General features: G+C 42.7%; 1 long non-coding RNA gene across 1 annotated transcript, besides 6 other annotated features; it reads left to right on the forward strand.

Moving 5' to 3' along the window:
• Positions 4,625-5,126: an enhancer, noted in NCBI's record as "NANOG hESC enhancer chr12:30938423-30938924 (GRCh37/hg19 assembly coordinates)". NCBI's record gives its function as "activates a minimal SCP1, AML or CMV promoter by ChIP-STARR-seq in naive H9 embryonic stem cells {active_cell/tissue: H9 hESC(naive)}" and the evidence as "EXISTENCE:reporter gene assay evidence [ECO:0000049][PMID:30033119]".
• Positions 12,100-12,601: an enhancer, noted in NCBI's record as "NANOG-H3K27ac-H3K4me1 hESC enhancer chr12:30945898-30946399 (GRCh37/hg19 assembly coordinates)". NCBI's record gives its function as "activates a minimal SCP1, AML or CMV promoter by ChIP-STARR-seq in primed H9 embryonic stem cells {active_cell/tissue: H9 hESC(primed)}" and the evidence as "EXISTENCE:reporter gene assay evidence [ECO:0000049][PMID:30033119]".
• Positions 13,103-13,604: an enhancer, noted in NCBI's record as "H3K27ac-H3K4me1 hESC enhancer chr12:30946901-30947402 (GRCh37/hg19 assembly coordinates)". NCBI's record gives its function as "activates a minimal SCP1, AML or CMV promoter by ChIP-STARR-seq in primed H9 embryonic stem cells {active_cell/tissue: H9 hESC(primed)}" and the evidence as "EXISTENCE:reporter gene assay evidence [ECO:0000049][PMID:30033119]".
• Positions 13,605-14,104: an enhancer, noted in NCBI's record as "H3K27ac hESC enhancer chr12:30947403-30947902 (GRCh37/hg19 assembly coordinates)". NCBI's record gives its function as "activates a minimal SCP1, AML or CMV promoter by ChIP-STARR-seq in primed H9 embryonic stem cells {active_cell/tissue: H9 hESC(primed)}" and the evidence as "EXISTENCE:reporter gene assay evidence [ECO:0000049][PMID:30033119]".
• Positions 14,607-15,106: an enhancer, noted in NCBI's record as "H3K27ac-H3K4me1 hESC enhancer chr12:30948405-30948904 (GRCh37/hg19 assembly coordinates)". NCBI's record gives its function as "activates a minimal SCP1, AML or CMV promoter by ChIP-STARR-seq in naive H9 embryonic stem cells {active_cell/tissue: H9 hESC(naive)}" and the evidence as "EXISTENCE:reporter gene assay evidence [ECO:0000049][PMID:30033119]".
• Positions 14,817-21,847, forward strand: LINC00941 (long intergenic non-protein coding RNA 941). The gene is made up of 5 exons (NR_040245.1): positions 14,817-15,352; positions 17,281-17,451; positions 19,049-19,157; positions 19,670-19,737; positions 20,837-21,847. It is a non-coding gene; the product is annotated as a long intergenic non-protein coding RNA 941 (long non-coding RNA).
• Positions 15,107-15,608: an enhancer, noted in NCBI's record as "H3K27ac-H3K4me1 hESC enhancer chr12:30948905-30949406 (GRCh37/hg19 assembly coordinates)". NCBI's record gives its function as "activates a minimal SCP1, AML or CMV promoter by ChIP-STARR-seq in naive H9 embryonic stem cells {active_cell/tissue: H9 hESC(naive)}" and the evidence as "EXISTENCE:reporter gene assay evidence [ECO:0000049][PMID:30033119]".
• Positions 21,848-23,197: the final 1,350 nt, after the last annotated feature.

Below are 23,197 nucleotides of genomic sequence, written 5' to 3' on the forward strand. Positions count from 1 at the left end.
CAGTCAGAGTATTTGTTTTTCCTTTTATTTTCTAATTATCTTAACCAATGCTTTTTTCCTCAAAACGTTAAAAATGGAACTATGTTATGACCCAGCATTTCTACTCCTAGGTATGTACCCCAAGAGAACTGAAAACGTGTCCACACAGATACTTGTACACAAATGTTTATAAGAGAATTACTCATAATAGCCTAAAGTTGGAAACAAAAAAATGTCCATCAACAAATACATGGATAAACAAACTGTGGTATATACATACAGTGGAATATAATTTAGCCACTAAAAAGAATGAAGTACTGATACATCCTACGACTTGGATGAACCTCAAAAACATTGCACTAAGTGAAAGAAGCCAGACACAAAAGGTCACACGTTGAATGATTCCTTTTGTATGACATATCCAGAATAGGCAAATCATATAATAAAAACAAAAAGCAGATAAGTGGTTAACTGGGAATGAGGGGAGGGGACAATGGAGAGTGAATATTTAATGGTATGGATGCTTTGGGGAGTGAAAAAAGGTTTTGTAACTCCAAGGAAGTAGTTGTACAGCATTGCAGATATACTAAGTACCACTAAATTGTATACTTTATAATGGCTAACTACATGTTATATTAATTTCACCTCAATAATAAATAAAATCACCCTCTGCTAGTAAGATGGATTAATTTTTGCAAACTGGTAAGCAGTTCTGATTTTCTTATATTTTTGTTTGTTTGTTTGTTTAATTGAGATGGAGTCTCACTGTGTCACCCAGGCTGGAGTGCAGTGGCATGATCCCGGCTCACTGCAAACTCTGCCTCCTAGGTTCAAGCAATTCTCCCACCTCAGTCTCCCGAGTAGCTGGGATTACAGGCACACACCACCACACCCGGCTAATTTTTTTATTTTTAGTAGATGGGGTTTTGCCATGTTGGCCAGGCTGGTCTCGAACTCCTGACTTCAGGTGATCTGCCTACCTCAGCCTCCCAAAGTGCTGGGATTACAGGTTTGAGCCACCACATCCAGCCAGATCTTATTATCTTGACAGTGAAAGAGGATCTTTTCCTGCAATTTACAGCCAAACCTATGGGTATAACCAAGTGTCTGCTTCCAAGGGGGAAAGCGTTCTAACTCTTTTTATTACTTATCTGGGGGCAAAATTTATGGGCTGTAGCAACAGTCAGTTGGAATTCTAGTATGTGAGTTATACTGAGGGGCAGGCCTAATGGTTAGGCTCTTCTTTTTTAACAGCAACATTAAATAACAGTAAGAATAATTCCTGGATACAGACAGAGTTCACTTAGATATTTGGCAAAATTTGCCATGTTCTCATCTCATCTCATGATATACGTGATTTATCTTCTAGAAGGAACTACATATCTTATTGGCTGTGATATATCATGGCTCGTTTTTCCAGGCTCAGTTGATCTTAATTTTTCCCAAATGACTTTAGACATATAGTCACTACTCTTCTGTCCCAAGCACTGCTCTTGCCTGTCACAGACACCTCCAAATAAATACTGCCCGGACTTTTGAGGGGTGGAAGTTGGAGATATTTGCAAGGGCTTCTTGGTATATTAGTTCACTTTTGCTACATCCTAAACTACCCTAAAACTCAGAGGCTTAAAATAACAATGTTCTTCAACTCACAATTCTGCAGGTCAGCAATTTGGGCTAGGCTCAACCTGGCAGTTTTTCTATGGTCTTGTTCGTGCATTTGCAGTCAGCTGCAAGATATGCAGTCAGTTGGCAGTTGGCTGATCCGCTGGGCAGGCAGGGGTTGGAGGAATCCTAAGTAGCCTCACTTGGATGTCTGGCAGGTGGCCACCTGTCAGCTGGGACACTTGGTCCTTCTCCATGTGGTTTCATCTTCCACCAGGCTAGCCCAAGCTTGTTCACTTGGTGGCAGTGTCCAGAATTCACACAGTGTCACTTCTATCACATTCTTTCAGTCAGAGAGAGCCACAGGGCCAACCCAGATTCAAAGGGGTGGGAACACATCTCCCTACTCTCTTGTTTGGAGATGTATTGTGAGCATTTTTGCAATCTACTACAACTGAACTCACTATTCTTGCTATAGTAACCCACTACTTCCCACACCAATTGCTCCTGGATGCCATCCTGACTTTGATAGCCTCCAGGCATGAGGCCCACTTGGTCACTGATTCTTTGTGCTCATGCTCTTCTTTCCCTCAGCTGGTTTGGGTTACCAGTTTCTTCTTTCCTCTGATTCTACATGGATTTAGTCTCAAAAAATCCCCATAGTTTCTGATCTATTGATAATTTACTTATTTTTTTAGCATGGCCATGTATTCATGTAGAGCTAGTGTAACCATATGATTTATCATTCAAATTGTGACTTCTAAGAATGAAATGGGACACTATAAATAATCATGCTAGGACACCAAGCATAAACTGAGATGTCTCTGCTTAAAGCCCAGTGGTTATAAGCACAGGTTCTTGGACCCATATTGCTGGGGTTGGAATCTCAGCTCTGACAATTATTTGCCAGTTACTTAAACTCTTGGTGACAGTTTTCTCATCTATTAAATGTAGATAATAATAGTACTCACTTTAGAGGTTTTTTGTGAGGTTTAAATGAGATAACTTATATAAAATACGCATTATTTTTACATCATTTCTAAGGTCTCAAGTGGATGTGAGAATTACCTTCTTCATTTAATATTCTATCATATTCATGTATCACAAGATAAAGTTATTTCATAATCTTTGTATAATCAGTTTTAATGACTATATACAGTTTCATTAAAGGTTCTATAATTTACCTGAAAACTCTTCTATTAAATATTTAGATCATTTACACTTTTCCCTTATTATAAATTACGTTAAAATTTCATTGTGGATAAATACTTTGGCAATAAATTAAGTTCTTATGTTAATTCTAGAAAAAAGAATATTATATTAAAGAATATAAATATTTTAAGGATCTTGTTATATGTTGCCAAATTGCTTTCTCAAAGGATTACATTAATGCTTTCAAACAATAATCAGGAAGTTCTAACTTTAATACAACCTCATCAGCATTGAGTATCACACAACTTAATCTGCTGTACTCATTTAAAACACAATTTTAACAAACGTATTTTCTGGTTTCCCAGCCCTCACAAATTAAAAGCAAAAAATTCAAAGCAGTAAAAACTAATATTGGAAAAGGTATTTAGGCAGATTTTCTGATCACTTGGTAGTGAAAAGAAAGAAATATAAATATAAGAAATAAAATCCTAGACATCTTAGATCATTTAATGGCTAAACACATCTTCAGTCTTTAAAGTCCATGACATCATTGTTTGTTGCAGTATATAACAGTTAATGTTCATTGTAATAATACTAAATGATCCATCAACAAAAATCCAGATGACAGTAAACAAATTTTTGACAGAGCAGGAGCATCACCATCTTGGACAAGCCCCTCATTCTAAAGTTCACCTTAATAAAAAAAAAACGCCTAAATCCAAAGGGTATCAGCCTAATGGCTAAGGTCAGCATAAACCACAATAACCACAAATAACATCTCCAACCAGAAACATTCCAAACTCCTCCCCAATCAGAGACTTGCCAGCCCCGAGATAACCCCCCGCCAGCCAGGAAGATGCCAGCTCCGAGATAACCCCACTCCAAGCCAGAAAGATGTCTGCCCCAAGATAAACTCCCCTCCTCCCAGAGACATTCCAACCCCACCATAAAACTTGTCCCTCACACAGAAACATTCCAAGCTTCTAATAAGCCCCCTTACCCTAAAACCAATATGTTCTCTTAGTCTGTAAGAGAAAGTGCTCCTAACCAAAGTCAGCCAGAAGCCCCTCTCAGGTTTTATCAAAAGTAAACCTGTCTTTACTGTCAAACCACATTTCGTGTCTCTTTCCTGTTTCTTTAACTCTTACAATTTTGTTTTAGGGAGATTTCCATTAACAAGTAAAAATAAAATTTATGCTGAAAGAGGCCATCTCTGGCTGGCTGTATTTTCTTTTTAGACCTTGAATTGGTGTGAAGAGTCATAAGGGTTTGCTAAAGGAGGAGTGAGAAAGTGGGGAGGGTGTGAGCTCCATAATCAGGAATAAAAACCGGGGGTACAAGACCAGGGCAGAAAGTCATTTTAAAATTCCAGAACTTCTGACACATCTTCATATTGGTTATCATTTGTTATCTCCTTCCTATTTTCCTTGGAAGCAGAAGGGCCTGTCTACATATATTCTTGTCTTCCCAAGCAGCAAGGAAGTGGGAAGTTGAGAAAGCTATTTCCTCTCCACACTTTTTCAGGCATATTAAGAATAAGAGAACCCTGAAGGGTATAGTGGCTGGCTAGGTAATCGAAGAGAAAAAAGTAAGTCCTATTTCCTTAGCTCTGCAGCAAAGAAAGAAAGAACTTTGACATCAATCTTCATATGAAGAAAAGGTCATTAAGCTCAGTAGATTAAAAATCTGAAATGATTCTTTAACTGTATCAAACATAAAAATCACCTGGAGGGCTTGATAAAACAGAGATTGTTAATCCCTACTTCAAGAGTCTATGATTTAGTGGGTCTGAATAGAGCCTGTGAACCAAAAAGTGGCTGAGGCAGATCTCAATCGAGTTAGAGGTTTGTTTTGCCAAGGTTGAGGATGTGGCCAGGGAAAAAGAAACACAAGTTACAGTAGAATCTGCGGCCTGTACTTTTTCCAAAGAGGGTTTTGAGGACTTCAATATTTAAAGAGGAAAGAGCAGGTAGAAGAGGAAGGAGAAAAAAAAAGAGGCTGGGTGTAGGCAGTAACATGTTTACATTCTTGTGAGGCTTCTATTAGCCCTTAAAAACTACTCACTGAATCCACATTTTACATGTGAAAAGAGAGTGGTGGGGTTAAAGTCAATTATGCATTCTTCTCATGCTGCGTATATCTACATTTTACATAAGATAAAGTAAGCATAGAGTAGAGGAAGAACTCAATTATGCATTTGTTTGGGGTGGGTGGAGGAATTTCTAGTCTTATGTTTGGCCCTTACCTGTGAAAATAAGCTGTTAATTTGCATTGTCAGGGTAAGATTCAACAGCACTCTATTTTAGGGCAAGTTTATAGGAGGGATATGTATTCTGAAAGATGTGGAGTCCACGAGGAATTTCCTTGTGAGCAATTTGTGAGGGAGGACCCCTGGGAAGATATGTGACCTTCTATTTTGCAGCTATTTGGTTGGGAACAAAAAGGAAGGCAGTTTGATTGCTTTTGTGTGACTCAGTTCCCAAGCTTCACTTTCCCTTTGGCATAGTGAGTTCGGGGTCCCGAGATTTTTATTTTCCATTCACAGCCCTGAGAATTTGCATTTCTAATAAGTTGCTAGGTGATGCAGATAATGTGGGTCCAGGGACCAGATTTTGGGAACCACAGCAGGTATGGTTCCCAGTCCTGACTAATCATCAGAATCACCTGTGATGTTAAAAACAAAACAAGACAAAAAAAGAAAAACAAACAAACAAACAAAAAAACCAGATTCCCAAGAGCCTCATGCCAGAAGCCACCAATTTGAATCTTCAGAAGTGGAGCCACCGGGAACCTGTTTATTTGATAAAGCTCCCCATTAGATCCTGGCGTTCAGCAGATGCAGAGTTCCACAGCCCCAGAGTACTCAGGATTATGCTAAACATTTAGTCAGTGTCTAAGAAAGCCTTGATTGATGGGCTGATTTAGATCCGGAGGCACTTTCAGCAGTAAAATGTGAATCCTTTTGTATGCTAAGTTTTTATTTAATTTGTGATGATGATATTCTTTGGAGAAGATCTGTACTGGTCTCTTAGCTACATAAAAATGAGCACTTTTGTAAAGGAAGTTCTCACAATTCTAATAGACAAATTAAAAAACTCTAGCACAACCATGTAAATCATCAGAATATTTCCATAGCAATAGCACAAAAACTTAAAAAAAAATAAGGAGTCCCACTTTGGGAGGCCGAGGCGGGTGGATCACGAGGTCAAGAGATCGAGACCATCCCGGCTAAAACGGTGAAACCCCGTCTCTACTAAAAATACAAAAAAATTAGCCGGGCGTAGTGGCGGGCGCCTGTAGTCCCAGCTACTTGGGAGGCTGAGGCAGGAGAATGGCGTGAACCCGGGAGGCGGAGCTTGCAGTGAGCCGAGATCCCGCCACTGCACTCCAGCCTGGGCGACAGAGCGAGACTCCGTCTCAAAAAAAAAAATAAATAAATTTAAAAAAAAAAAAAAAGATAATAATAATAATAAAAAATAAGGAGTCCAAATGGAATTATCCTGAGATTCTGTCAGATTTATCCTTTAGAAATTAATAGTTGCCTTTTATCAGAATTTCCTGGCAATGTAACTAGATTGGTGGCTCATATGCTTATCAAAATTTAGTAGGTTAGATTTTCCAGGTAACATTACTTTCTTTCCTGATATTCTTCATAGGCTGGTTTTTACAACATATTTCTCCTGGTAACTAACTGTCTATTTAGCAGAGATTAAAAGCAGAACAATGTTCTTATTTTTTCAAGTATTTTATTTCATAAAAAGGAGAGTTGTCACTTCAATAATCTCTGACTAAATTAGGAGTTGGATAATATGGGTCTAAACTGTGTAATTTCATCTTTTCTTCATTTCCATAATGGTTCTAGGTCACATTTCTTACTAACAAACTTCTAAATTTTGTGCAACCTACTTAACTGAAATGAACCATTAAGCTTTGGCTTGTTACACATTTGCACAAATGAAGAAATGGCTTGTGAGCTTAACTCTAAATTGTGGTTCATTTAGAGAAGTGGTTACTGTATAATTTGTAGATTGGGTACTGAACTCAGTATTTTTGAAATTAGATAATAGAGAGCTAATAGTGACCCAAATGGAAAAACACACCTTATGTTCACTAATGAAATGTAAAATAGAATTCATCATTCTCCATGTGATGACAAAGAGCACAAAAGCAATGTGAAAATTAACTTAATTGGAAATATTGTAAAATTATTTTCAATATCATACGTTAAATTAAGGCGTTGCTTTGATTGCTAAGTAGATAATAGAAAAAGCCGAAGTGGTAAGCCTTGTTAGAATTTGTGCAAATGCTTTACAAATTGCTGATTTTCTAGTACCATCACAACATTTAATAGTGGTACATTTAATAGAAAGGCAGTTCAAGTTGAAATAGATGACAGTTAAGTAGATGTTTTGAACAAGTTGTTCAATAACTTCTCAAACTAAATTTCATCTTCTGTATCCAGAGAGCTAAAAATATATTCCCTAGGATCTAGCACTTTCCTTACACATAGTTGGTAGTCAGTAAACACTTGTCAAAAGTAAGGGAACAGATGAATACTACAAGATAATGTAGTGGAGTCTAAGCTGGTATTGCTCACTGCAGGACAGTCAATAAGTCACGAGACAAGGTGTTGGGGCAAGAGGGCAATAACTCAGTTTATCTGCTCAACCGAGAAGATGATGGACTAATGTCCTAAAGAACTGTCTTAAGGCAATGTGCATTTCCGGTCCCTTTATTGTTAAGGGAAGAGGGTAGAAGGAGATGGAGTTCAAGAGGTGACTGATGGTTATAGGCATCTGGGCAGCAGAGAGCATCTGAGAGGGAGTTGGAAAACTTCTTTGTCCTTGGTCAGGTCACAATGCTCCTATAAATCTTTAATTATATATTTCTTATTATTATTTTATTTTTTCATATACCGAGTGAAAGCTAGGATCCCATAAATCTTTAAAATAACATTGTTCCTTGTATGTACACACTCCTTACCTCCTTGGAGGTTAGTTTTGGGAAGGAACTAGCATCCTATTATCCTTGCTTTAAAGTTAAACTACAAACTAAATTCCTTCCATCATATCATTTTCTTGGCCTTCATGCAGAGATAATAAAAATTAGTTAATCTAAAAGGTACCACCTGGAGGGGGAAGGGGGGTGTTAGGAGCAAAATGGAGTTTGTTGAGCTAGGCCTCCTTTTCACTGTTACAAAGATGCTAGGAGAAAAGTTATCTCCTTGGCACTGGAGAGAAGTCTGGGTGCAAAAGAGAAACAAATTGAAAATCAGTTGTGATTCTTCTAGGATTCGTTAATTTCATCCTCCCAATCTCTTTTGCCAGTCCAATCCTCTCCCAAGAAGTCCAGATTCCAGCTCTTACTGGACGCCTCCATTTCAAATAGTGCAGCAAACAGGTTAAGAATACAGATGCTGAACCAAGACAGCTTAGGTTCAAATCTCCAAACCCCACTGACTTTAGCTGTTTGACCACAGGCAAGTTACTTTACTTCTTGATATCTCATTTGTGAAATTGAGTCAATAATAGCATATCTATCTTAAGCTGTGCTGGAAGGATTATGTGACTTAAGACATGTAAAGCATTTTAGGATAGTGCCCACATACCTGTGATAGACAGCTTCAGACATAGCTCCCAGTGGTCTCCACCTCTTGGTGATCAGCCCTTGTATAATTCCTTCCCCTAGAGTGTGGGCTGAGCCTAATGACTTGCTTCTAATACATGGAATTTGGCAAAAGTGAGGGTGTGACAGTTAATTTTTTAATGTCAACTTCATGAGGCTGAGGGATGCCCGCATAGCAGGTATAATATTATTTCTCAGTGTATCTTTGAGGATATTTCCGTAAGACATTGGCATTTGAATCAGTAGACTGAGTAAAGAAGATTGCACTCACCAATGTAAGTGGGTATCATCCAATCCATTGAGGACCCAGATAGAACAAAAAGATAGTGAAAGGACAAACTGGCCAGGTGCTGTGGTTCACACCTGTAATCCCAGCACTTTGGGAGGCTGAGGTGGGCAAATCACTCAAGGTCAGGAGTTCAAGACCAGCCTGATCAACATGGCGAAATCCTGTCTCTACTAAAAATACAAAAATTAGCTGGGCCTGGTGACGGGTGCCTGTAGTCCCAGCTACTCAGGAGGCTGAGACAGGAGAATCGGTTGAACCCAGGAGGTGGAGGCTGCAGTGTGCTGAGATTGCACCACTGCACTCCAGCCTGGATGACAAAGCAAGACTCCCTCTAAAAAAAAAAGGACAAATTTACTCTGTTTCAGCAAGGACATCCATTTTCTCCTGCCGTTGAACATCTTTGCTTCTGGTTCTTAGGTCTTCAAGTTTAGGGTGGAACTACACTACTGGCTTTCCTGGCCCTCCAGCTTGCAGATAGCCTCCGTATCACATGAGCTAATCCCTCATAATACATCTTGATATAGATATAGATATAGATATAGATATATACACACACACACACACACACACACACACACACACATATACATATATATCCCATTGGTTCAGTTTCTCTGGAGGACCCCAACTAATACGGATTTAACATGGCTTCTGTGATTAGGTTACTAAAGACTGTGACTTCCATCTTGCTAGCACTGTGTCTTGCCTTCTCTGATGAAGTCATGCCATGTTGTGAGCTGCTCTATGGAGAGGTCCATGTGGCAAGGAACTGAGGGAGACCTCTGGCTGACAGTTTGTGAGTAAATGAAACCTTAGTTCAACAACCTGCAAGAAAGTGAATTCTGCTGGCAACCACCCAAGGGAGCTAGGAAGACAATCCTTCCCAGTTGAGTCCTAGAACTGCAGCCCTGCAAGAGTCCCAGAGCTAGAGGACCCAGCTACTCCACAACTAGATTTCTAATCTCCAGAAACAATGAGATAATAAATGCTGCTTTACGCCACTAAGTTTCAGGATAATTTGTTATACAATACTTAAGCATTCTATAAACGTAAGCTAGTAACAGACATCTCAAATTCCACATCTCCTCCCCCACTATTCACACCTCAGTAAAGGGAAAACCACCATCCATCCAAGTTGATCAAACCAAAAGCCTAAAAAATCATTTTTAATTATCTTTTTCTCAATGCCTTCTCCCCTAAATAGACCAACTTCAATGAATATCTGAGTAAGAGTGCTTCAAGAATAGAAAGTTCAAAAGCCCTTAAGCCAAAAATAAACTTGGGTTATTTTAAGACAAAAGAGAGACATGTTATAGAACTGAACTTCGATCTACTCACCTGGCTCAGTAAAGCCAATCACTGACACTGGGATAGCAGTGAGAGAAAGTGAGGCACTGATTGCAGGGCGTCAAGCAAGCAGAATCAGGGCAGCTCAAGCTTAAGACCTGAACTCCCGGATGGCTTGCAGGCTGGGATTTTTAAAAGCAGGGGTAGATGTAACCTCCATGTATTGTTTTATGATTTTGCCTGTAGCACAGGCAAAAGCTACAGGCAAAATTGTAAATCAATGCATGGAGGTTACATGTTGGCTTAGGCCTAAAAGGGCGGGATATCGTGAAGCAGGCTTACATGTCATAGGTAGATTCAAAGACTTTCTCATTTGCAATTGGTTTAGGAGGAAAAGCTTTTTAAAAAAAAAAACTGGGATCAGCAGAAAAATGTCAAGCAGAATGATATAGTTTGGCTCTGTGTCCCCAGAGCCCCCAGGGGACTGTGACATTCTCTAAGCCCCTCTGGAAAAATTTTAGGACAAAGAATGTGGTCAGAGTTCAGTTTTCAATTTCCACTTATCTGAGGTCTACAGGCCAGCAGATCCATTCAGTGAGGGCCCTGAAAGACAACTCAGGGACATATGTTAAGATGTTATCTTTAGTTTCCATAAGGAAAGCAAACATCTCTGGAACTCTAACTTCCTTGGCTATTGCTTTAGACTACTATTACCTTTTTGTTTGACAAATTTCTTATTTACTTCTGGGGCTAGCTAGGTTCCTGGAATTTCCCTTTAAGGAACTCCAGATTTTTCTTTATTTCCATGCTTGGGGTTTTCAGGCCTCTAGAGAGGGGGCTCCTGCTCCATCTCACCCCAATGCCCTCAGTAATCTCGCCCCTTGCTTTCCTCTCTAATTCTGTTTTTATATCATTCTCCCTCTTACTAGCAGTTCTAGCCACACGGGTTTTTAGCTGTCTAGTCGTTTTTGTTTGGCACCCTACAAATAAATGCTTTTCCTTCTATTGCTGCAAAACTTCACTGTAGATATCTGGTTTTACTGTACCGGGAGAGCAGACCCAAGTTTGGTTCTATAATAGTAATGTAATTTTCATCTATTATAAGTCAAAAGATATCATATCTATTTGTAAGTCAAAAGATATTCATTTGTTTAGGGAAGAAATAGTGGACATCTTCCTCATAATTTAATTCCAATGTAGAATTTACATTAACCTAACATTTTTAATAATGTTAAAAATTCATTAAGAATCTTCTTTAGATACTAAGGCACATCTTATTCTGTCCAACAAATTCCTCTCCAACAGTCATCCCTAATTTCTTCACTTTGAACTGCCAACCACCCATTCTTTAAAAATAGTAGGATAAGAATACTATTTATGAGCTTCCTGTTTGTGAATGGCATTACATGAAAGATCTTGCAAAAATCAGAGGAGAATATTCATGACAATGAAGATGACAGTGAGAGCAGCTAATATTTATTGCTCCTTTTCCGCACCAGGCATCACACTAAGCACTTCATACATGTATCTCATTTAATCTTGACAACAATCCTATGAGCTAAGTACCCTTATGCCATTTGTACTGATGAAAGCACTAAGGCCCAGGGAGGTGAGCTAAGTGGCCCAAGGTCCCACATAGCAAAGACTTATACCACGCAGTTTTGCTCCAGAACCCATGCTCTTAATTGCCGCTATGCTGCCTCTCTAAATAATAAAAATGGGACACTTCCAAAAGGTAGGCCACTATTCTCTATCCACAGTGGTAAAGGTTAAAAAGAGAAATGAAAGATTATATTCAATTCTGTGCATTCAGTGAACATTACTGAATGCCTGATAAAGAAAAGTAGGCTTTGATGTTACATGCATAGCCCTGCTCTGACCTGCACTAGCTGCTGATCTCGGGCCAATCACCCAGCCTCTAATAAACAGGTTAATCATGCTGACCTCATAGGGTGTTGTGAGCATGGGATGAAATGTGAACCACTGGCACAGTGCCTGGCACAAATAACACAGCTTTGTACACTCTGGAAGAGTGGTGTGGCTGAAAGTAGCTTCTGGCAACCAGAAGATAAAAGGGTTAAACCAAACAGTTGTTCTAACACTACAGGTCAAAATAGCAAGTGCTCAGGAAAAAAGAATTTGTGATGAAACACATTCTGTCTATAAAATTGTGTGTAAACATTCACAGTGACCAGCTCCAAGTTGCTGCTGTCTTTCCTTACAGAGATTCCTCTGGATGACAGTCATGGGAAATGGCAAGAAAGACAGGTAGGGAAAGGGTAAGCCAAACGACTGCCCAGGAAATGCAATTACTGATGCTTTCTCCAGTATTGATTTTTGTGGGAACATCAGAGTTATCTGGGTTTTGAGGTGCTAACCCCAGGCAGCCAGAACCCGTGCTGGGGCTGGTCTCAGCTTACCAATGCTTTCCAAGCAGAGCTAACCATTCATTGCTTTATTCATGCATTGCATTCTTTTGTTCTTTCATTCAACACTTATTTATCAAGCCCCACGTCCTGTGCCTGCAGCCCTGAGTCAGCAACAGAGCAGGCCTGCAAAAGCCTCCTCTCTGTCTCAGAATAGAGTCATGGAGGGCTAAATCTAACTGGGCTTTCAATAGAAATTTATAATCTGGAAGGTGGTGCAGGCTCACTTTAAGAAGGCTCACTCAGTGCCTTCATGGTGGAATTGAGGAAACCCAGACCCAGGCAGCAACTCCCCAAGATTGCAGAGATAGTAAGCAGTGAAGTTGGTATGCAAATCCAGGTCTTCTGAAGCCACATCTGTAAGCCCCTCACTATATCACTACAACACCAGGGAGAGAGAGAGAGCCCGGGGTTTCTTTCTCTTGAAAACGACCAGTCACTGGAGCAGAGCTGTTTGCCCATGGAGATGAGTTTTATGTGAGCCAGGTTTACAAAGAGTAGAGTGTGGCTGGGCACGGTGGCTCACGCCTGTAATCCCAGCACTTTGGGAGGCCGAGGCAGGCAGATCACAAGGTCAGAAGATCAAGACCATCCTGGCTAACATGGTGAAACCCCATCTCTACTAAAAAAATACCAAAAAATTAGCCAGGCGTGGTGGTGGGTGCCTGTAGTCCCAGCTACTTGGGAGGCTGAGGCAGGAGAAAGGCTTGAACCCAGGAGGCGGAGCTTGCAGTGAGCTGAGATGGCACCACTGCGCTCCAGCCTGGGTGACAGAGCGAGACTCTGTCAAAAAAAAAAAAAAGGGTAGAGTAAGAAGAAAGAAGAGTGGAAGATTGCAGACAAATATGGCCAGCAAGCATCTCTCTCCAGCCCTCTCTGGAGCCACGCTGTGCCCCTGCTCATGACTTTCAGTTGCTTCACTATGCAATGAAAGTCAAAGCCCAGTTCCCATGCCACACACAGAGGAGTCCCTATCTCCTTTTCTGGCATCTTTTCTCACATTCCTGCCACACAGATTCTCCACTCTAGCCACATACCTTATCCTGTCCCACCCAAGGACCTTGGCTTCTACCATCCGGAAGTCTTCTGCCAACCCCAGGGCTGTCCAAATGCCTTTTCTTTTTCTTTTCTCTTTTTTTTTTTTTTTTTTTTTGGAGACAGAGTTTTGCTCTCGTTGCCCAGGCTGGAGTGCAGTGGCGCCATCTTGGCTGACTGCAACCTCCGCCTCCTGGGTTCAAGCGATTCTCCTGCCTCAGCCTCCCAAGTAGTTGGGATTACAGGTACCCACCACCACGCCCAGCTAATTTTTTGTATTTTTTTTAGCAGAGACAGGGTTTCATCGTGTTGGCCAGGCTGGCCAGGCTGGTCTGGAACTCCTGAAGTTAGGTGATCCACCCACCTCAGCCCCTCAAAGTGCTGGGATTACAGGCGTTATCCACTGCGCCCCACCCCAGATGCCTTTTCTATGAAGTATATCCCAGTTGGAAGTAATTTTTGTTTACCCTGGATTTCTGTACATTCACTGATTGTGCAAAGAGCTTGCCACAGGCGGCCTTGCAAGATAGTTCTCTACCTTCAAGCCTTACTTCCTCCGAAATGAGTTAGGTCCCATGACATTAGAGCCTTCGGGATATTTCTGTACAGTTCTAGTTCCTAGCATAGCGCCTTGTATTCTTTAGGTACCTGACAAATGGCCACCAACCCTCCACCGGAGAGGACTTTTTACCAAGCCTGCAGGAAGGGCCAGCTAGGCAGGCGTCTCCCTGCTTTGCCCAACAGTGAAAGTCACAGCACATTTCTCAATATTATTCACGTTAAAAACATCTTTTTCCTGCTAAATAGACACACTCTCCACCCTCTTTTAGTCAATCTTCCACAAAATTAGATAAGGAGAAATAACCCTTTGTTTCACATCCGCTGACTCAGATACGAGCATTATTCAACTGGGCGGGGGTGGCAGTGGATGGGAGGGGGCTGAGCAAACTACAAGTGGAGGAAGAAGAGGACAGCCTAGGAGAGGGAGGGCAGAAGAAAGGAGAGCACATTGTGCAGGGGCACAGTGTTTTGCTGCTCCTTTTTTTCTTTCTTTTCTTAATATGGTCCTGGCTCACAGCAAGGCCACTACCTGACAAGCAGATGAGTCACTTCCTATGGGCACAGCGGGGGTACAACTTGATAGCTACAAAACCAGACAACCTCTCGCCATGCGCTCACCCTGTTCCCAGACCCGGGTGGTGGTCTGGGGGGTTGGAAGGGGCGGGAAGGGCGCTGTCTTAAGAATCATCCTCACATCTCAGGGCTTCGCCCCTCGAGGGAGGTGACCCTTGGCCACCCTCTGCGCAGTTCTCCCTGAAAGGTCATGCCACGTCTTAGCACTCTGGTCCCTGCGCCCCTGCAGGCCTCGCGGATCCCCCACTTGTCTCGACGCAGGGGACGCCCACTTGTCTGACGCAGGGGACGTGGCTGAAGTCAGTCGGGCCGCCCGCTTGCTGCACGGCAGCCGTGGGACTGGCACAGGCTCCTCGGCAGCATTATGGGCAGCTGGTAGAGCGGCCACTTCTGAGAGCCGGATGGGCCTTCCGAGGTCGGGCCGTGCCCCGCTGGGCAGCGCAGAGGGGGTGTGTAGGGCACGCGACTTGGAGCCAGGTCCAGACCCATCCTGGCTCCTCTCAGGGCTCCTTCCCCTGCCCCCATTCCACCCCAGCCCTGCTGGCTGTCCCGCAGGACCCAGCGCCGCGGTAGCCTTCTCTGAACTGCGGCTCAGGCGGAGGTGTCACTCCTGCCTCCAGCCCAGGAGGGCAGGTCAGGTTATGCAACGCGTGCCGCGCGATCTCCCCCCACCTCCAACCCCCTTTTCTCCCGGGTCCACACCGCAGTTCCCACCGCTCCGGGTGTCCTCCCCAGTGCGCCGCGATTTTTGTGTCCAAGCCCCAGAGTCCCTCTGAGACCAACCCCCAGCCAGCACAGACTTCCTGCCTTCCCAGCTCGGGTGAGTAGCCCTGAAACGCCCGCCCCCGCCGCCCCGCGGCCGCAGCATCCTCTCGATGGCCGCGCCTCCGGGACGACGTGGTCCCCTCGAGTAGTACAGGAGCTGCAAGAGAGGCGCGCCGGGGCCAGCAAGCTCTAGAACAGCAGGAGCGGCCCCAGTTGGGACCCCGGGACGACGAGTGGCCGGCAACGCGGCGCCCGCATGGCCCAAGCAGTGTCCGGGAGGGGTCGGGGCCCCGGACTAGGGGCGCAGCGAGGACCGCCCGGAGGCTTTCCCTTGGGCAGCTAAGTCCGAGTCAGCTCTACTCGGATTTCCAGCTTCCAGCCCCGGCTCTGGTGGGGACCATGCCTAGGAGAGTAATCTGAGCTGGGGACTGGGCTCTCCTCCCGCCCCTCCCGGCCCGTGCGCCCCAGGCATGCGCTCCTCCCGCTGCTCCCTTGGCCCCCAGCGCACAGCTCCAAACCCGCGGGGCGAGCCGTCACCTTACTCTCTAGCCTTAGCCGGCCCCCAAATTTAATTTCTGCCCTGGCCGTCAAGCCATAAAAGTCGATTATAATCGCCGCCCCCCCCCGACCACCCCAACCCCCTGCCTTTGCTCTCGCCCCCGTTTCAGACTTCTCTTCTCTTCTTGAAGTCAAGCCCTCAAGTCGGGACTCTAGGAAGTCCGTTTTCTTCGTCCTAACCCCTTTGTATCCTCTCCCATCCCCACCCCTTTCACTCTGCCCTCTGGCTCTGATTTCTCGGCCTTTCCGTTTTTTCTCTCCAGGTAGAGACAGCTCCGGGCCGGGGGTGGAGGATGGTGCGGTGGGGAGGAGGCAAGGAAATTCCCAGCCTTCCTGCGCGAACCTGGGAGACCAGCAGGCACCTGGTCTCGTCCCGCTGGGTCCCCTCCGCACCCAAGACTGTCTTCCCAAGTGGCTTACTCCACAGAAGGAATGTCGTCAGCTGATTATATCTGATTAGCATCCAGTTCCGACGACTCATCCCTTAAAACGTATGCTGCCTGCATCCTCTTCTCTCTGGACCCTCCAGGACGATACCAAGTCGGGCACGCGTTTCCCCTCTTCTAGGTTCCTGCCAGCCTCATGGCCAGTCCGGGGCTTCGAGCCTCCTCTTCCCTAGTTCATCCTACATGCTCCGGCCACATTTGCCTTTGGTAAACTGCACTTTTTTTTTTTTTTTTTTTTGAGATGGAGTTTTGCTCTCATTGCCCAGGCTAGAGTGCAGAGGTGCAATCTCGGCTCACTGCAACCTCCGCCTTCCGGTTTCAAGCAATTCTCCTGCCTCAGGCTCCCAAGTCGCTGGCATTACAGGCGCCCGCCACTAAGCCCAGCTAATTTTTTTGTATTTTTAGTAGAGACGGGGTTTCACCATGTTGGTCAGGCTGGTCTCGAACTGCTGACCTTGTGATCCACCCGCCTCAGCCTCCCAAAGTGCTGGGATTACAGGCGTGAGCCACCGCGCCCGGCCCGGTAAACTTTTTATCCTCTTCCTCCTGAACCCATCATCATCTTCATTTCCTTGTCTGTTAAAGTCTGCCTCTGCCTGGCATTAACACCATGGAATCTAGACTCACATGGCCTTTCCCTTGCATATTCCACCGGCCGGGAGAGGATCTCCCAGATCTGGGGCAATGGGGCTTCTCACTGTCCAAAACGCTCAAGGCCTTTGCCCCCTGCTGGCATTAATGAAATTAATGGGCTTTTTCTTCCTAATTAGTTCACGTATCTGTGAATATTGCTTATTCCTATGAGACAATACTCAGCATTTTAACATATTTTAGATGTAAGCCTTAAAGTACCTTGTTTCCATAAATAATTATGACATTAATTTTTTATCACTATGTTACTCAATTCTTTGAACCCTTTCTAAGTTATATGCCAAAAATCACATAGCCATCCGTCACTAATTTTTTTTTTTTTTTTTAGGGATGTGGTCTCATTAGGTTGCCCAAGCTGGACTTGTACTCTTGGCCTCAAGAGGTCCTTCCATCTCAGTCTCCCAAGTAGCTGGGACTACAAGCATGCACCACTACACTCAGCCAAATACTTTCAATAATTTGCCAGCTGACAACTTGATTGGGTTCTCCTTCAGGTTTGGTAAGGCAATATTTGGAACTCACCTGATTTACTATATATTACACACACACAAATGCACATATATATCGATATATAGATACATATGGTTACCCAGTGGTCAGAGTCCCCATCAGACACCAGTATTTGGGATTATTCTTTTGTCTGGTGCCTAGGGTTTTTTTTCATACCCCAGTGTTGGTGAGAGGCCTACCTTTCTTCTGAAAGTGGGAGGACAACTATGAAAAAAGCATGGGAAAGGGGATGAGCCTCCACCCACACCTGACACCTTAACAGCTGTACCTTTACAGGCAGGTCAGTTTCTGGAATAGGACATAAAATGTTGAGATTCTGAAGATTCATTCTCTTCAAGCCAGCCTCCGCAAATTTTTTCTGTAAAGTGTCAGATAGTAAATATTTCAGGCTTTGCCAGCCATATGGTCCTATCCCAACTCTTTAACTCCAACCTTGTAGCAGCCATAGACAATATGTAAACAAAAGATTATGGCTATGCTCCAATAAAACTTTAATTATGGACACTTATATTTGAATTTCATGTGTCCCCAAATATTACTTCCCTTTTGATTTTTCCCCCAACCATTAAAAAATGTAAAAACCATCTTAGCTCCCTGGGGGGTACAGAAACAGGCAGCAGCTTTCGTCCATAAGCCCTAGTGTGCTGACCTCTACCAAAGTATTCGTGTCAGCATGCCCCATGGAAAGTCTTCAGGTAACCTCAGGGAATGTGTACTCTCATTTGAAATTACTATCCTGGTTCTCAACTCTGGCTACATATTAGGATCTCACGGGGTGCTTTAAAAACTACCATTGCTGGCCAGGCGTGGTGGCTCATGCCTGTAATCCCAGCACTTTGGGAGGCCAAGGTGGGTGGATCACCTGAGGTCAGGAGTTCGAGACCAGCCCAGTCAACATGGTGAAATCCCATCTCTATTAAAAACACAAAAAATTAGCCAGGCGTGGTGGCAGGCACCTGTAGTCCCAGCTACTCGGGAGACTGAGGCAGGAGAATCACTTGAACCCAGGAGGCAGAGGCTGCAGTGAGCTGAGATCATGCCACTGCACTCCAGCCTGGGTGGCAAGTAAAACACCGTCTGAAAAAAAAAAAAAGTACCAATGCCAAAATGCTCAACCCCACTCTTTCATACTGATTCAGTTGGTCTGGAGTGGGATCTGGGCATAAGGTAGTTTTAAAAGTTTCCCAGGTGATTCTAATATGCACCCTGACCTTGGTCCAGTGTCCTAATTGCTGTAGGCTTTGCACACCTCTCAGGGCACAATGCTGCTTTGTGTTGTAGTTACTGTATTTCATCCAGTCGAAGGTGTCATGATTGTAAGATGAAGTCCCATTTTAGAAATCTTAAAATGTAAAAAATATAGGTGTCTTGGGTGAAATGTAATTTTGCCTTGTCTACAAGATTGATCCCCCCTGATGGCAAGGAGCCTGGCTTCCTCCCTCCTGTGTTGCTTTCTCACCATTCACACTTAGCTGAATGTGAGGTGTTCAGTGAATGCTTGCTGAATGCTTATCAACTTTGGGTTGCTTTGTTTATTGCATGTGCTCTGGATTCTTACTTTTCTCTTCACTTCTCTTCCCTGACAGAAGCGCCCTCGAGAAGTGTCTAAAGGAGACAGTTGATAGCCAAACAACAGTTTTGGATTCACTGACTGATTATGAAAGAAGCAGTAGACTGGTATCAAGAATCAGTCAGGTAGGAAATGGAGCACTTGGTGGTGTCTTTGGCTATGGGAAAAAGGAAATGCCCACTGATCCCATTCCTGGAAAATGGGAGAGGAGACAGAATACCCTTCACAATGAGGAAAATGGGATTAGGAATTAGTCTCTGATTGACTGATATTTGTGTCTCCATTATCTGAAATCATGCCGTTTGTTTGAATTGTTTTTTCCAATATGTGCGCTGCTGGTGTTAAGTCTGAATGAAGGAAGGGACTGGGAGTCATTTCCTAACATTGCTATGGTTTGAATGTGTCCCCTAAATTTCATGTCTTGGAAACTTAATCCCCAAATTCAAATGTTGATTGGAAGTGGAACCTTTAGGACATAATTAGGATTAGATAAGGTCATCAGTGTGGGCCCCCACCCCCATGATGGAACTGGTGGCTTTATAAGAAGAGGAAGATAAGAAGGGAAAGAAAGACCTGAGCTGACATGCACATGCTTGACCACTTGTCATGTGATGCCCTTTGCCATGTTGTGACACAGCAAGGAGGCCCTCACCAGACGCCAGTGCCATGTTCTTGGACTTCTCAGCCTCCATATTCATGAACTAAGTAAGTTTTTTTTTCTTTATAAATTATCCAGCATATAGTATTCTGTTAGGTAACAGAAGACAGACTAAGACAACCATACTCCCAGTGCCTAGATTAATACATACACTGTAGATGATTAATACATATGGTTCATATGGTTGTTTGTTTGTTTGGTTGGTTTTTGAGACAGACTCTTGCTCTGTCACCCAGGCTATAGTTAGTTCAGTGGCACAATCTCAGCTCACTGCAACCTCTGCTTCTCCAGTTCAAGTTATTTTCATGCCTCAACCATCTGAGTAGCTGGGATTACAAGTGTGCCCCACCACACCCAGCTAATTTTTGTATTTTTAGTAAAGACATGGTTTTGCCATGTTAGTCAGGCTTGTCTCAAACTCCTGGCCTCCAGTGATCCACCTGCCTCGGCCTCCCACATTGCTGGGATTACAGGTGTGAGCCATTTGCCTGGCCATAAATATGATTTGAATAAACTATTGAATAAATGTGTCAACTGAGATTTACTAAATCTCAAGCGGGGTTTCTGCGTGTGGAAAACTTTTTCACAGTAATGTGTTTTGATTTTTAGTCCCTTAAATTGAGTTGCAAAATCTAAATCCTAGTTTTTCTCAAGCTTTTAAATTCAACTTAACAAAGCTCATAAGTCCATTCATTACTCTGATAATATTTGTAGAAAATAAAAACAATCACTTTTGCTTGTTCTTTGATTCATGTGTTAACTCATAAATGTAACAGGCCAAATCCTTCTTAAATATTTAATACTACTTAGAACTTGATTAATTAAATTTCCTTAGACATCTCAAATCACATTGAAATTTTCTGTGCCTGCTTCTCTTAAACATTTCAAATGCCAACGACTAGACCTATAAATTTAACATGAAAATTATTTATAAGCCTTTAAACAATACCTCAAAAATATATACCTGAAAAATACAATGAATCAAACTGAACAAACTGCAATAGGTTATTAAAGTAACAGTCCCCAATTTGTTCACATCTTCTTGAGTAATCCTCTCCAACACTGATTCTGAGTTTTTCATTAGAATTGTTTTGGCCAATGGGACAATAGCAAATGTGACATACTGGGGCTTGTTCTCCCTTGCAGGTTTTTGGAATCCTTAGGCTTCCACGTGTGGAAAGCCTGAGCTAACCTACTGGAGGATGAGCCATCACCTGGAGCAGATTCAGGCCATCCTAGTTGAAGCCTCCCTAGGCCAAGCAACCGTCCAACTACCAGACATTGACCATTCAGCCTTGAACATTCAGCACAAAGACAAAACAGACCAGACCAGAAGAGTCCCACAGAATAGGGGAAACTATTCAGAGAAAACTTAAGCCACTAAGTTTTATGGTGTTTTGTTCTGTAGCAGAAGCATAGGCATACTGACAATACAAACCGAAATCCTTCTAACGTAGTGGACCTTTTCAGGCCAGCATTTTTTCCTTGAAAACCTGGAGCATGTATCCATCTTATAGCAGAGATCACTTTCACAATGTTTGGGCTCTTGATTTGAATTGATGATGTAATGAGCCCTCTATCCAGATTGTAACTAATTACTCTGCGAATTGACTGGATTCCACACCCTTCTAATATTTTACTTTTCCTCTTTTATCAACTCTCATTCTTGCTGCCATGATCAATGGACCAACTATGCTTATAACCACAAATTTTGATATGCTTAAACAAATGAACAAATATATTTAATAATTTCTTTTTTTTTTTTGAAATAGTATCTTGCTCTGTCACCCAGGCTGCAGTGCAGCAGCGTGATCTCAGCTCACTATAACCTCCACCTCCCGGGTTCAAGTGATTCTCCTGCCTCAGCCTCCCAAGTAGCTGGGACTACAGGCGCCCACCACCATACCTGGCTAATTTTTTGTATTTTTAGTAGAGACAGGGTTTATCCATGTTGGCCAGGCTGGTCTCAAACTCCTGACCTCAAGTGATCCTCCTGCCTCGGCCTCCCAAAGTGCTGGGATTACAGGTGTGAGCCACCATGCCCAGCCAATAATTTCCTGATATAATAAAAATGCCAATACTATACAATTAAATAGTAAAGTGATAAAAAATAGGATAACATGATAACCACTAATTAATATATACTACATAATCATCCTTTTCGTGAGTTGAAATGTTCTTTTAGCACACTTTATGGTTTATCCTTTCTGGAATACTATTATATGATCATGATTTTTCTCACACTTGTTCCAGTGAAATATACTTTTAGGTGTTTCCTTTGTATTGTTCAAACTGTAATATCTCCAGTGGAAGATTTTTTAAGCTTGTTCTTGTCTTGTCAGTGTCACCCACATAGTCATAGTCTGAAAGCATTTTGCTTTCTGGAAATAAGATATTATAGGCACCAAGTTATGGAATTATCTACTTTTCACCAAGCCTTCATTCTTTCAGTGCTGTATTAGAGACCTCATTTAGGGTTCTAAGGGTGCATATCAAATTGTTCCATGAGTCTAAAATGGATAATTCTTCTGTGGGCCATTTTTAGTGCTAGAGCTAGAAAAGTTATACTTTTAAAAGGTAAATAGCTCACAATGATTTTGCAATATAATTCCCACTTTACCCAATTATTAACTGCTGTTTGAATATAAAAATATTTTTAAACTTTTTTATTTACAACATATCTATTTAAATTCAATACAGCATTCCCAAATAAATATAGCAGAAGTGGGAGTTTCAAGTTACTAAACATGTCAGTCACAATTTATGGAGCCGATTGAAAGATGGAGAAATATTACTGTATTAGTTTCTTCTCACATTGCTATAAAGAAATATCTAAGACTGGGTAATTTAAGAAGGAAAGAGGTTTAATTGGATCATGGTTCCACAGGCCATACAGAAAGCATGATGCTGGCATTTTCTCAGCTTCTGGGGAGGCCTCAGGAAATTTACAATCATGGATGGGAAGGGGAGCAAGCACTTCACATGGCCAGAGCAGAAGGAAGAGAGAGAGGCGGAGGTGCCTCACACTTTAAAACAACCAGATCTCATGAGAACTCTATCTCTATCATGAGAACAGCACCAAAAGGGGAAATCTGCCCCCATGATCCAATCATCTCCCACCAGGCCCCACCTCCAACACTGGGGATTGTAATTGAACATGAGATTTGGGTGGGGACACAGATACAAACCATATCATTCCACTCCTGGCCCCACTCAAATCTCAAGTCCTTCTCACATTGAGAAATACAATCATGCCTTCCCAACAGTTGCTCAAAGTGTTAACTCATTCCAACATTAACTCAAAAGTCCAAAGTCTCATCTAAGACAAGACTAGTCTCTTCCATCCATAAGTCTGTAAAATCAAAAAAAAGTAAGTTACTTCCAAGATACAATGGGGATATAGGCATTTGGTAAATATTCCAACTCCAAAAGGGAGAAATCAACTAAAAGAAAGGGGCTACAGGCCCCATAAAAGTCTGAAATCCAGCAGGGCAGTCATTAAATCTT

This window comes from Homo sapiens, chromosome 12 (genome assembly GCF_000001405.40).
Source record: "Homo sapiens chromosome 12, GRCh38.p14 Primary Assembly".
Taxonomy (NCBI): Eukaryota; Metazoa; Chordata; class Mammalia; order Primates; family Hominidae; genus Homo; species Homo sapiens.